The sequence below is a fragment of the Homo sapiens genome, chromosome 11, assembly GCF_000001405.40.
Source record: "Homo sapiens chromosome 11, GRCh38.p14 Primary Assembly".
Taxonomy (NCBI): Eukaryota; Metazoa; Chordata; class Mammalia; order Primates; family Hominidae; genus Homo; species Homo sapiens.
In genome coordinates this window covers 130,520,590-130,534,033 of record NC_000011.10, presented here as the reverse complement: position 1 = coordinate 130,534,033, position 13,444 = coordinate 130,520,590, and the positions used below count along the sequence as shown (strand labels likewise).

General features: G+C 46.3%; 1 long non-coding RNA gene across 1 annotated transcript, besides 1 other annotated feature; it reads right to left on the bottom strand.

The window, feature by feature from the left end:
* Positions 1-81: 81 nt before the first annotated feature.
* Positions 82-11,567, bottom strand: LOC105369574 (uncharacterized). Its single transcript, XR_007062953.1, has 5 exons — positions 11,426-11,567; positions 4,735-4,799; positions 2,361-2,420; positions 1,085-1,194; positions 82-963 (listed from the first exon to the last, which is right to left on the bottom strand). It is a non-coding gene; the product is annotated as an uncharacterized LOC105369574 (long non-coding RNA).
* Positions 10,495-11,122: an enhancer, noted in NCBI's record as "H3K27ac-H3K4me1 hESC enhancer chr11:130392807-130393434 (GRCh37/hg19 assembly coordinates)". NCBI's record gives its function as "activates a minimal SCP1, AML or CMV promoter by ChIP-STARR-seq in primed H9 embryonic stem cells {active_cell/tissue: H9 hESC(primed)}" and the evidence as "EXISTENCE:reporter gene assay evidence [ECO:0000049][PMID:30033119]".
* Positions 11,568-13,444: the final 1,877 nt, after the last annotated feature.

Genomic DNA, 13,444 nt, shown 5'->3' with positions numbered 1-13,444 from the left:
ATTCTAACAAAATGGACACCTAGATTCCAAAGTCAACCGGTCTGACGCCCATGCCATGAAGAATTGTTGCTATTGTTGCAGTTGTTGCTCAAATGGTTTATTTCTTTGGAGGCCACAAACTAAAACAATGACAACTTTCATGTTGAATTCCAGGAAATAAAGGATAGACAATAATGAGAGATTTTTTTTCCCCCAAATACAAACAAATGAATTAGGACTGAAGGGCTGAAGGGAAGCGGAACAAATTAGGCTTGAGGACTTCCACCAGCCTGCCCACCCCACTGAACAGCTCTTGGGCACATTCTCCCCAGAGAGCTCAGAAGTGGTCTGGATTCGGGGACAAATATGTAACAAAAGATGCAGGCCCACCCAGAAGACATGGGAGCCTGCTGTGCGGATTACAAACACTGGCAGAGAGCCAAGAGCTGCCCCTTCCCTCAGCTATGGAGCAGAGGCAAAGCAGCCCAGGCAGACATCACGGACCAGTTCCTTCACAGTCTGGGACGGTTTGAACACCAGAAGAAAGTCTGGCATTGTCCCTCCAGAACCCTAGGTTGCTAACTACATTTTAAAATCATTAATTTCTCAAGTCCACCCTGCATTACCATATCAGATCATCTTAATCAGTCAGGGCACTGCCTGCTACGCTCGATGCACAGTAAATATTTGTCGTTGGAATTAATTAACTGTGCAAAGGAGGCCCCAGGCCAGGGATCATTACACCACAAGCCTTTCAGTTTCCCACAGGGAAAAAGTCTATTCTCAAAACACGGTCTTGACCCCGCCCCCAACCAAGTATCTGAAAAAGTCATCTATGAGTTGCTACAAGATGGGCCATCTAGAAAGCAGATGGCTCAGGGCAAATGCGTGGGTTTGAAATAGCATCTTCTGAAGGTGAGCACATTTCCAGTAGCCCGTTGTACAGATGTGGCCACTGACAAACTGAGGTGTTCAAAGATTTCCCTAGAGTAAAAAAGAGCAATCAGATGAGCCACAAAATCTCTGTCAGTGGTGTAGGAGTCCATTTGCACTACTATAAACGTATATTTGAGGTTGGGTAAGAAAAGAGGTTTAATTGGCTCACCGTTCTGCAGGCTGTATAGGAAGCATGGTGCCAGTATCTGCCTCTGGTGAAGGCCTCAGGAAGCTTCCAATTGTGGTGGGAGGCAAAGTGGGGGCAGGCATGTCACATGGCTTGAGAGGAAGCAAGAGAGAAGGGGAGGAGGTCCCAGACTCTTGAACAATCGGATCTGGTGTGAACTAACTGAGAACGCACTCGACTAAGGGGACGACGCCAAGCCATTGGCAAGGGGTCCACCCTATGATCCAAAACCTTCCACCAGAACCCCCCTTTAACACTAGGGGTCACAGTTCAACATGTGATTCTAAGCCATTGGCAAGGGGTCCACCCTATGATCCAAAACCTTCCACCAGAACCCCCCTTTAACACTAGGGGTCACAGTTCAACATGTGATTCTAAGCCATTGGCAAGGGGTCCACCCTATGATCCAAAACCTTCCACCAGAACCCCCCTTTAACACTAGGGGTCACAGTTCAACATGTGATTTGGAGGGGACAAACATCCAAAGCATATCAGGTAGTTTTAATTCAGAAAATCTTATAGTTGGATTAAAAAATTAAAAATCTCATTGCTCTCTAGTCCCCAGCTGGAACCAAACACTTTCTTCAACCTCCACCTATGGAATTCCACCTCTTCCTTGTGACTCTCCATCCTGGGCCTGACCTCACGTCACTCAGGAATCCTGATTTCAGCATGCAAACCAAATGTCCAAGCAAGGGTGAGGGGCCAGCTGACCTGGTGGCCCCAGCAGTCCGGGAGCTGAGGATGCCACTGCCTGCCTGTGGGACAGGTGCAGAGTGAGGCCAATGGAAGGAGACAGAGCCGGAGGCAGGGGCAAAAAGAGCAAATCATTGGGCTTAGTGTCAGAAAATGGACTTTTGAGGGCACTGGTGGTGACCTGAAGTCTTTCCATGCCATGTATACACCAACATCATCCTGGGGATTTGCTGGAGCTACCACTAGCTTAGTGCCTCGGGCGGCATTCAGCTTGGCTTCTTTGTGTTTCCAACAACACACTCACTCACTTTCACAATGAGTTTCACCACAGGCTGTACCCAGTAACCTGCTGATCTTAAACAAGCTGGCCCATCTACCCCTCTGCTTCTCAGGGGCTCCAGCTATACTCCCTGATTAGAAATGCAGCTTCACAGTCTCTCTAAAGTATTCCTTCATGAGTCTGTTTAGTTTGCAGCCAAAAACACAGAGGGTCCCCTTGGGCAAATAAGATGTTCATTCATCTGCAAAGACCCCACTTACACACAACATTTTCTGTACGTACCTGTCGTCTAGAGTAGTGGTTTCCATGCTGTGTCCCGAAACCTAAAGTTATATAAAGGAGCTGAGAAGACCAAGGAGAGCAAAGTTGACAGGAGTCTGACCCTTCACCCTTTCTTTCATCAGGTCCATACTGGTTTTACGTATTTTCTGTATTTTATTTATCACATATATTTTATCACATGTAATATATAGTATAAATAATGTAGATATAACCAGGTGACCTTGTGGAGAAAAAAAAAATAATTCCATTGCTAAATAAAAGCTTGAAAAACATGACTTAATCAGAGTAAGGTCTGCTTGCATCACTGCCTGTAGTTTACAAAGCTCTACCAGGCCAGTGTACTGTGAGCAGCCAACCACAGGATGGCCTCTCTGGGTGAGGCAGGGCGGGGGAGCCCAAAGACATTTACTTGGCACCACCTGCTTCCCCTTAACTCTCTCTTTCTCTCTCTCTCTCTCTTTACTCCCACCCCAGAGAATAGTTTGCAACCACTGAACCAGAAAATCTGTATGGTTCCTCCAAATTCCATGTTGAAAGTTTCCTAGATTCCAGTAATTTTTGAACAAGTGAAGGAATTTGCTATGGCTCGAATGTCTGTCCCCTCCAAAACTTTTATTGAAACTTACAAATTGCCATTGTAACAGTGTTGAGAGGTGGGACCCCTAAGAGGTGATTAGACCACGAGGGCTCTGTCTGTGAATGGACTAATGCCATTAATGAGGGTGGGTTCCTTATAAAGGATGAGTTCAGCCCTCTCTCTTGCCCTCTCTCACCCTCCCCTTGCCCTTCTGCCATACGACGCCTTCTGCCACATTTCGACCCAGTAAGAAGGCCTTCACCAGATGCTGGCACCTTGGAATTGGACTTCCCAGCTTCCAGAACTGTGAACCAATACATTTCTATTTGTTATAATTGTCCAATCTGAGGCATTCTGTTATAGCAGCACAGATGGACTAAGAATTAATGAAAGGTAAAATAGATAGATAGATGGAATGGGTGAGCAGAATGCTGATATTTTCTGGGGTCTAAAATTTAAAGAATTCTCAATTGTTTCAAGCTATTGCTGAGAAATATTAGAATATGTTGAAATTAGATTTTAGTCCACAGTTGCATAGATGAGCTTCAAAGAGGATTCTCTGACTGTTTGTTTTGTTTTGTTTTAAATGTGGCTACCCATCCCCTTTCTTGGAGGCCAAGTGAGATCTTTCAGGTGAGAATCACAACAGCCAAGTATTTCTAGCAGAGAAGAAGACATGGTGGGAAATAACACCAGGTGATCACCAAGCCTTTCTTTCACCAGTTGGTCATCCCAGACTTACTTTCAACACCTGAAGAAAATCACTTGTCCCTAATGAAGTTGTTTAATCATCAGCCTTAACATTGGTATTCAACATTTAAACCTTATCTTCTGTGACTATGTCACCACCATTTATGGTTTGGTTTTGGTTGGCTTTTTGTTTTCGTTTTTGAGACAGGGTCTGGCTCTGTCACCCAGGCTGGAGTGCAGTGGCATGTCTAGGCCCACTGCAACCTCCATCTCCCCGGTTCAAGTGATCCTCCTACCTCAGGCTCCCGAGTAGCTGGGACTACAGGCACGCACCACCACGTCAGGCTAATTTTTTGTTGTTGTTTGTTTGTTTGGTAGAGACAGAGTTTCATCATGTTTCCCAGGCTGATCTCGAACTCCTAGGCTCAAGCAATCCGCCCTCAGCCTCCCAAAGTGCTGGAATTACAGGCATCAGCCACTGCGCCCAGTCTATGTTCTTAAGAATATAAAAATGAAGCTTGTCCTGTGCTTTGTTCGTTTGTAGGAATAACAACCTTCTCTTATTCTGCCCCCCCCCAAAAAAGCATTTTATATAAAAAAATTCAGATTGTTTTCCCCCAGGATTATGTAAAGCATTTTCAATTCTTGTTTTGATAAATGTCACCTAAATCTTAAAATATTAGGGCTTCAGTTTGGGTATTTTTTTCAGTAGTGAATAAGTAAGTAGGCCTCTTGATTAAAAATGTTTGTGTCTGGTATTTTTTCTCTTAATTGACGGGTTTATGTTACTCATCTTTTAAATATGAAAGGTGCGTGAAATACACCAGATGGGTTCCCAACTTGCCAAAGCTCAAGCTACAAAATCAGTAAGCACGGCGCTGCTCTGAGAGGTGGAGTGGGTGACTTCTGAGGGGTTTCTCCACATCGCTGTTTGAAGACCCCTGTATGCTAATGTTCTTTAAGCATCCCTCCAACTGTAAAATTTTATGATTCTACTGTCCCTGAGTAGCTAAAATTGGGTAAGAAAAGGAAATAAGTGTTCCAAGAACCAAATGAGGAATCAGAAAGCCACACTGATTCCTGGTTCGTTAAAGCAGCCATGTTTACCTTGTAGCCATGTTTACCAAGGTAGCCAAGTTTACCCTGGACCCCCATAACTCAATGTTCTGCACCTGCAAAATAGAGAAAGGAGGGGATGAATGAGGGTCTAAACGGAAAAACACCGTCCTTTCTCTCAGTGGTTCTGCTGTGCCTCTCTCAAAGCACCACACCCACCCCAATACCAAATGCCAGGCAGAGTTACATGCACAGTGGAAAGCTGATAAAGCATGACATCAGTAGGGGCCGGGTGAGCTGGGGACAGAAGACAGGACAGGGCAGGAAGCAGAAATCCCAGAATTCGATAGGCAGAGTAATGGAATGGCTCCAAACCATCTTCCCGAACCTCAGATGTGCCAATTTGATTGGATGCAGTTAAAGAGAACAAAAGAATATGCCAATAAAAGCCAAAACAAAAGATGAAGCTACAGCACAGCTTTTCCAAAGGGCTGCCCTGGCCACACGGGCAAGAAGGGGGCCAGCAGCCCCAAGAGCAGGTCCAGAGTCCACCGAGCACCCCGCTCCTGCACCGCTGCTCCCCACAGCTCAGCTGTGCCTCCTGCACCTTGAACCCATTCAAGAAGACTTTTGGGTTTTTCTGTTTGTGTTTGTTTTTGACGGAGTTTGACAAATTGTTATATGAAAAGAACCAAAGAAGAAAAGGGAAAAAATTATTTATTCAGCCTTAAAGAAAAAAAGGATCTATCCTTTTAATTGAGGCAGACAAAGACCTTTCAAAATCCATTCAGTCGTAGCGTCAGCTCTCATGCCACCCATGTTCCGCATGCCTCCCCTGTTCCTGCTGCAGCCACTTCACTCGCCCTGCTCACACCCACCCCTCCCTGCCCCCAGGGCTGCCCTGACTCACCATTCCCCTGGCCTCAAACCCACACACATCCATCTGAAACAAACACATACGAGGACCCAGCAAACACACACTCTCTCACATATACACACACAGATACAGCTACCCCATCCCTCACTCAACTTTCCGACAGCTAGCAGAGATGTCAGCCAGGATACCCAGCTTGTCCCACACCCTCTTCCAGTGAAGCCACCCTGGGCTCAGCCCCTGTGGAGGGGCAGCTGTGCATGACCATTATTCCACCTGGCAACCCCACCCTAGCCGCAGCCACCTGAGCTACAGCAAATGACCCTGAATGTGGCTGGGTGAGAGGGAGGGTGAGCAGGTTCATTTACCTCCTACACATTGCAGGTGAGGGACTTAGGCCGCATTCATTCCCTCCTCACTCCCTCCCTGGGCTGAGATGCATGTAACTGGCTCCATCTCACACACTCCTGGATTGCCTCTTTTATCCTCCTGCTGCAGCCTTTTTCTTTGGAAGAGCAAGTGCCAGAAGATAAGCTTCTGAAACAAGTCAGATTCTTTCTGGGAGCGGTATTCCCACCAGCCTGGAGTGCTTTCACACAGCTTGGTGTCCTGAACAGGCGTGTGCAGTCTGTGGAAGGAAGTGTGATAACAAAGGAATGCAGCTCTGGACCACAGGCCCCCAGGGAAGGGGAGAGAGGAAGAGAAAGGAGGAAGAGCAGAGCCACAGGTCAGGAGTCATTATGCCTTGGTGACACCATCTGCCTGTGACACTGAAGTCACACTCGATGGTAGGGCTTTGAATGCTGGACTCCACAGAACCCACCAAGTATTGGGCTGAAAATCAGCTACAGTTCTGGTCCTCAGTAACCAGGAAAGTCTCCTGAGATACTATTACAGGGTAACCAGTGATTGCGGCACCAAAGTCCTGCTCCCTGCAGCCTCCCCAAATTCCAGCCCTCCCGTTGGATTGGCCTTGGGAATGTGATCTGTTAAAATGCTACCCCTTCCTCTCATTACCTATGTGACATAAAGATCTTGAGAGTGAGTCTTAACTCTCACCTTTGGAGAAATTTGAAACACAAGAAATTACCTCCTTTCTGTTTTTGGAACAGCTGTCATTTCTGCTGGTGAAATCTCAGGTCTTTGGAGTTTCCTAAAGACCCTGGTCATGGAGCCCTTGACAAAGTTCCTAGGCTGCAATAAAGAGATTACATGGAGAGGAAGAAAATTTGCAGGGTAGCAGAAAGACATGGATAGTAAACTGTGTATTGATTTTGCTTTAACTTACCACATCTTCGGCCATTCCCATGCAAACTTTTTCTGGAGAGCTCATAACATGCAAAGGCAACGGCACAAGTTTAATCTTCCTTCATCCCCCAGTGGCAGGATTAGAAAGCCATGAACTGGCCAAAGATCAGACAGAAAGAAAGGGAAGGAGGCAAAGCAAATGGCCTGAGTTATCCCTCCCTGGACCATTCCAGTACCCTAACTAATCAAGAACTGGCCCCTTTTAAAAAGATGAACTTTCTCAGCCTGTATTGGGGCCAAAGCCAAATTTTCTTGTTCTGGTAAATCAGTATTGTTTGAATTCCAAAGAGGCTCAAAACCCACATCGCCATGCAGGTTCCCCAATCATCCCCTCTGACTCTACAAGGTAAATCCACAGACGGAGGAGTTCCTAGGCAACCCAAAGTAAATGCACCAAAGGATCAAGAAAATAATGGTCTGTGAGAGCTCCATTTTTAATTTGCAACCCTACTACCGAGTATATACCCAAAAGAATTGAAAACAGGATCTTCAAAAGATATCTGCACTCCCGTGTTCACTGCAACAAGGTTAAGAAGAGTCAAGTTATGGAAACGACCCAAATGTCCATCAAGAGATGAATGGATAAAGAAAATGTGGTACACACACACAATAGAATTTTTCAGCCTGAGAAAAGAAGGAAACCCTGCCATTTTCGACAACATGGATGAACCTGGAAGACATTATGCTAAGTGAAATGAGCCAGGCACAGAAGGACAAATACTGCATGATTCCACTTGGATGAGGTATCTAAAATAGGCTCATAGAAGCAAAGAATAAAAAGGTGGTTGCCGGGGGCCGAAGGGAAGGGAAATGGGGATCCGTTGCCCAATGGGTATAAAGTTACAGTCATACAAGTGAATTAGTTCTAGAGATCTGCTGGACAGCATTGCACAGTCAACAATACTGTATCATGCACTTAAAATTTTATTAAGAGGGTATGTCTCCTGTTAAGTGTTCTTTCCCTTAAAAAAAGGAATGGGGGGACACAAGTGAACTTTTGAGATGATAGCTGTGTCTATTACCTTGGTTGTGGTAATGGTGTCAAAGGGGCATGCATATGTTCAAACTCATCAAATTGGATACATTAAATAGGTGCAGTTTTTGTATGTCAATTATAAACCTGTTTAAAAAGAAAAAGAAAAGAATAGTCTAAGTGGCCCTGAGTGTTTTAACTTGAGGCCTACTCAATGAGACAGTATGATTTCTGCCATTTGTCAAGGCAGGAAAAAACTGAAACAGTCAGAGACTAAGTGGCCCCTTTCCTCCTGCTCAATTCATTGCCTCTGATGTACACAATATGAGACAAGAAGAGGCTATTGACAGGAAGCTCTCTCAGAGGAAGTGGAATCCCCTTCACAGATAGGCAATGACTTCTCTTTTCCCTCAAAGAGAAATGGTGTCTGTTTCCAGGGAAGGGGCTGAAGAAACTGATCAAGAATTTAAAAGATGGCTTCTCCCAAAAGTGGCCAGAAAAACTCCTCAGTTTCTCAGGCCTCAGAACTGCTGTGAAACCAAAGGTGGGCAGCGCTGGGGAGCAAAATGTGTCTGAAAGTCGGGTCTGGAAGGTCAAAAAACATGGTAGTTACTTGGCATTTGGGGCCATTCAGCATTCAAACACTCTCCTATTCCGGGGGGGACATTTCAAATTAGGCGGGAGACAGGTTCCTTTATTAAGGGAGCCAAAGAGGGCACGTGGTTCCCTTCTCTCCTTCCTCAGCAAGGCCATGTGACCTGGGCACAGCCAGTCAGAGGCTTCCACTCAGGTTTTAATTCCGTGTCCATGCAGCAAAGTCCAGGATCAGTTAGAGGTTATCAGGAGGCCATTCATGTGATAAAAGTTTCCAGGGACAGTTGCATCCAACAGTGAGAACCCAGAAGCAACACCCTAAGCCCAGAGCACCCAGGGTAGGATGTCCCTGGGCCTTGCTGACCTTTGTTTGTGCTCAGACTGGTGTGCTCAACTACCCACAGATAGCAAAGAGCTACCAAATACCCTTCCAATCAATTTGCCTTCTGCTTGTTTTTTTTTAATTCACAACCAAGAACCTTAATGCTGAATTATAACAGGGAATGATTCAGAAAAGAACCCTCGGCTTGTTGCGAGGTGACCGTCTAACCCCTAAAGTGCCAAGAAGTCCAGGTGACACTTACCGTGTCCTCTCTGGGCAGTGAGCAGGTAACTGAGAAAATTGTGACGGTTGTATTAACTGCACAGGCCACGTAGGACTGTCCTCAGGCATTCTGCCCTCTGGGAGATGACATGCTCACACTCAGCCACACACTCTGCACACTCAAAGACAACCTGGTTATCTGGTGCCCTGTTCCTTACCCTTTTCTTCCAGTGTTTTGTTTGTTTGATTCTTCGTTTTTTTGTTTTGTTTTGTTTTGTTTTTTGGTTTGTTGTTGTTGTCGTTTTTAGCAAATGTGAATTGGGAGATATAAGCGCTCTTCTGTAATCCACAGGGAAGAGTCTGACAAGAAGTACAGCTCAAAGCCCACGGCCAGTTTCCACCAGTCATCTGATCAAGGCCTGGCAACCCCAACCCATTTGCCATGCCCTATGATGCCTTCAAGGCCCCATTCAGGAGGAAAAGTTCACTCTACCAATTAACTTTTTTTTTGAGACTGAGTCTCACTCACTGTGTTGCCCAGGCTGGAGTGCAGTGGTGCGGTCTTGGCTCCCTGCAACCTCCGCCTCCCGGGTTCAAGCGATTCTCCTGCCTCAGCCTCCTGAGTAGCTGAGATTACAGATCATTAACTTATCTCATTTTTTAGAAACTCACACTCAAGATCTACTTCTCCAGAATCCAGGTGCAGCAGCCAGGAAACCATTTAGTTCTCTGAATATACTTGTGTTTGTCTCTCTCACCAGAAATAGCAAACCTACCCACTGTGGGCTCACACCCAGCAACCTCCACATAATCTGACCAGCTTCTACTTCTTTAATATTTAGCTCAGGTACCATCAACTCCAGGAAGCACTTGCTGGCCTTTCAAGGGTGTATGGGAGGCTCTTTCTCTACGCTCTCCAAATGCCCCCCATACTAGCATTGTTGCACTTACCCCGGGGCACTGCATCCCATACGTGTCTGTCCCCTTAAGTAGACCATGGGCTCCTTAGCAGCCGGCACTGTGTCATATACCAACACTCGGAGCAGCAAGTGCACACAGCAAGTGTTCAATAAGTGTGGGTGAAATAAATGAATGAATCAGGTAGGACTGGGATTTATTCCCAGATGTGAAGTGACTCTGCCTCTGAGACCACATCTGCCAAAAGAGGAAACAGGGAAGAATGATGGCAAAGGTCCCTTCCAACCCCAAGACTTTGTGAGTCACTGAAGTTTTCCCTCGTGAGTCCTGCATAACAATAATCACAGTTAACATGCACCCAACAGGCCGGCCACCGAGCTGCTGAGCACAGAATCGGAGTTGTCTCATTCAAGCCTCTCAGCCCCTACCAGCGTGTTTGTGGGGGGCTGTGCGGCAGCCACGTGCTCAATCTCACGGGTGACTACGAGGGGGCTGGTTAAGAGTGCCGACCAACATGAACAAGAGGCAGCCAAGGCAAGGGAGAAGAAAAGGGCCGAGATTGGCTGTGGTCTTTCTGCAAGAAGGGACTTGAGGAACAAGCCAGGGAGAAATAGGAAGGGAGGTTACAGTTGCTGAATGCTCACCCAGTGCATCCTCACAAAACGCCAAGCACTATCATGTATGCCATACCCGCTTTACCTGGAGGAAAACCAAGGCTCAGAGAAGTTTAGGACCTGCCAAATGGAGGCAGTGCTCAAAAGCATGTGTCTGCTGGATTCCTGAGCCTGGCTCATTTCTACACCCCAGCATGGTTGAGGTCTGACTCTGGGGATCAGTCCTCCATATGCCCCTGCCCCTCTGATCCAAACCCTCAGAAGTGTGTCCAATAGTGTCCCAAGCTTGTTCTCCTAAAAGAAGCAAGGGACATGTAACCCCAGTGAAATCACAGTCAGTCCCCTCACAGCTCACAATTTCTGAGGGACTTCTAATGCTCTCGAGACTAACCCCCGAAGTTGTGAATCTGCATTGGCCAGGAAAAGCACTCAGGACTTGGAGTCCAAGACCCTGACTGCAGGGCCCCAGTTAACTAATTGTTGGCTGGTGATCTTGGGACTTTGAAAAGAATGCAGCATTAAACACTAGTACATACCATCATTATGAAGAAGATGAGAACTCTGGCTTTAATGTAGAGTCAGAGATGATCTGGCCCCAGATGCTGATCCTTCTAAGTACATCAACAGCTTTCAAAAGGGACAGCATGTCTCAACTCAGCCTGACAACCTCTCCAAGACTTGCTGGCCTGTTTATTTGTTCCAAGCATCTGTTGGGCTAGAGCAACACAGCCAGAGCTGGGAGACAGGCATCCCTCTGCTTGCAAACCCCACCATCAGCTGGACAGATGGGCCAGAGGGCAGGACACACAGGAGAAAGGATGCTAAACAAGACACAGATAGCAGCTGACCCAGGCAATCAGACTCCACGTGCCAGAGGTTAAGCAGTGTTACAGACAGCTCCTTCCTCTCCCCCTCACCATGCCTGTGCTGACCCCGCTGGCAGAGAACTGGTGGCTGAGACGGCATCACTGCTGGGAAAGAGACTGGCTGAAACCCCCACCCCCACCTCCTATACCTTTCCCTCCCTCCTGCTGTCCCTCTGTCCCCTCACTGGCTGGATTCAGCCCTGCTGTCATCAGGAGGGCCTGGAGCCTGGCCGACAGTCAGCTGATAGGAGCCGTGACTCAGCCTTCTCTGACGTAAGGCGGGAGGGCCTGGGCTGGATCCTCCGGGAGCCACTCTGCTCCCTGGGCCAGCCCTGGGCCGACCTGAAATGAGGTGCTTTGCTCTCCCTCACTTCCACTCCCTGGGCAGTTCTGCTCTCTTACTTAGACTACCTCCCACTGCCCTCCCACTCCCCAGCCCCAACACGATGCAGACACAATTTGGGAACACTAGTCTTTACAAGATAATGCATTTTCTGTGAAGCCTCGCCTGACTCGCTGAAGCGGAGTTAAATACAGTCATACCTTAGTATCTGCAGCGGTCTGGACCAGGATACCAAAATCCGCAGGACCCCCCAGATACCAAAATCCACAGGTGCTCAAGAACTCAGCCCTGTGAACCTTCATATGGAAACAATCTGCCCTCTGCATCCATGAGCTCTGCATGCCAAGAATACTGTATTTTAGATCTGCCAATGGTTGAATCCATGAATGGGGAACCCCATGGACACAGAGAGCTGACTCTATTCATATATGTAATCTCGTCTTGCACCCTGTACCCACCTCTGTTGAGAGACTGTATGGGGGAGTAATTAAGAAATAGAGGCTGGGTGCAGTGGCTCAAGCCTGTAATCCTAGCACTTTGGGAGGCCAAGTGGATCCCTTGAGCCCAGAGGTTTGAGACCAGCCTGGGCAATGTAGTGAGACCCCATATCTGTTAATTCTTAAAAATAAAAATTAATTAATTAATAAAAGAAATGAACCCTGGAGTAAGAGTGCCTGGGTTCAAGTCCAGCTATGCCACTTATTAGCAGAGGTTGTTGCAGAGATTATCTGAATTGGTAGATGTCAAGGACAATGGCAAAGCACTTGAAGATTACATATGTATTCTATATGACATATACCCAAGTACTGTATATATAATGTATATCTTACGTATGTCTCTCCAAGTGCTTTGCCATTGTCCTTGTTAGGGTTTGGATTTATGTCCCCACCCAAATCTCATGCTGAATTGTAATCCCCAGTGTTGGAGGAGGGGCCTCGTGGGAGGTAATTAGGTCATGGGGGCAGACTTCCCCTTTACTGTTCTCCTGATAGTGAGTTCTCACAAGATCTGGTTGTTTAAAAGTGGGTGCCACTTCCCACTTCACACTCTTCCTCCTTCTGGCCATATAAGACATGCCTGCTCCCTCTTCACCTCCTGCCATGATTGTAAGTTTCCTGAGGCCTCCCCAGCCATGCTTCTCATACAGCCCACAGAACCATGAGCCAATTAAACCTCTTTTCTTTATAAATTACCCAGTCTCAGGTAGTCCTTTATAGCCATGTGAGAATTTTATATATATATATATATATATACACCATTTATATATATACCATATATATATATATGTATATATACACATACACACACACACATATATATACACATATATATAGCTCCAAGGATATTATATCAATAGTATATAAACTATTGATTTTTTCAGCATGAATAAATGAAGATGCTATCATATCATATGATCATCTGTCTATTTGTCTGCATTCTCCACTAGACAGTGAGCTCTTTTAGAGCAGGGATCATGACTTCTATTTTACATATCTCTTAAGTCAGTGTTTAGGATACAGCAGACACTCAAAAACTAACTGATGAATGAATAAATACCAAAATTCTGGGTCACCCTACCCAGCACATATACAATCAACTGAGGCAGAAAAGTCCAACTCACCACTCACCCCTCCCCAGTCTTTTTAATTTCCCAGCAGAATCCCAAGTGGAACGTTCCAGGAGAGGCCTGGCTTTAATTTTAAGAGATAAAGACAGCCAAGTGCTGG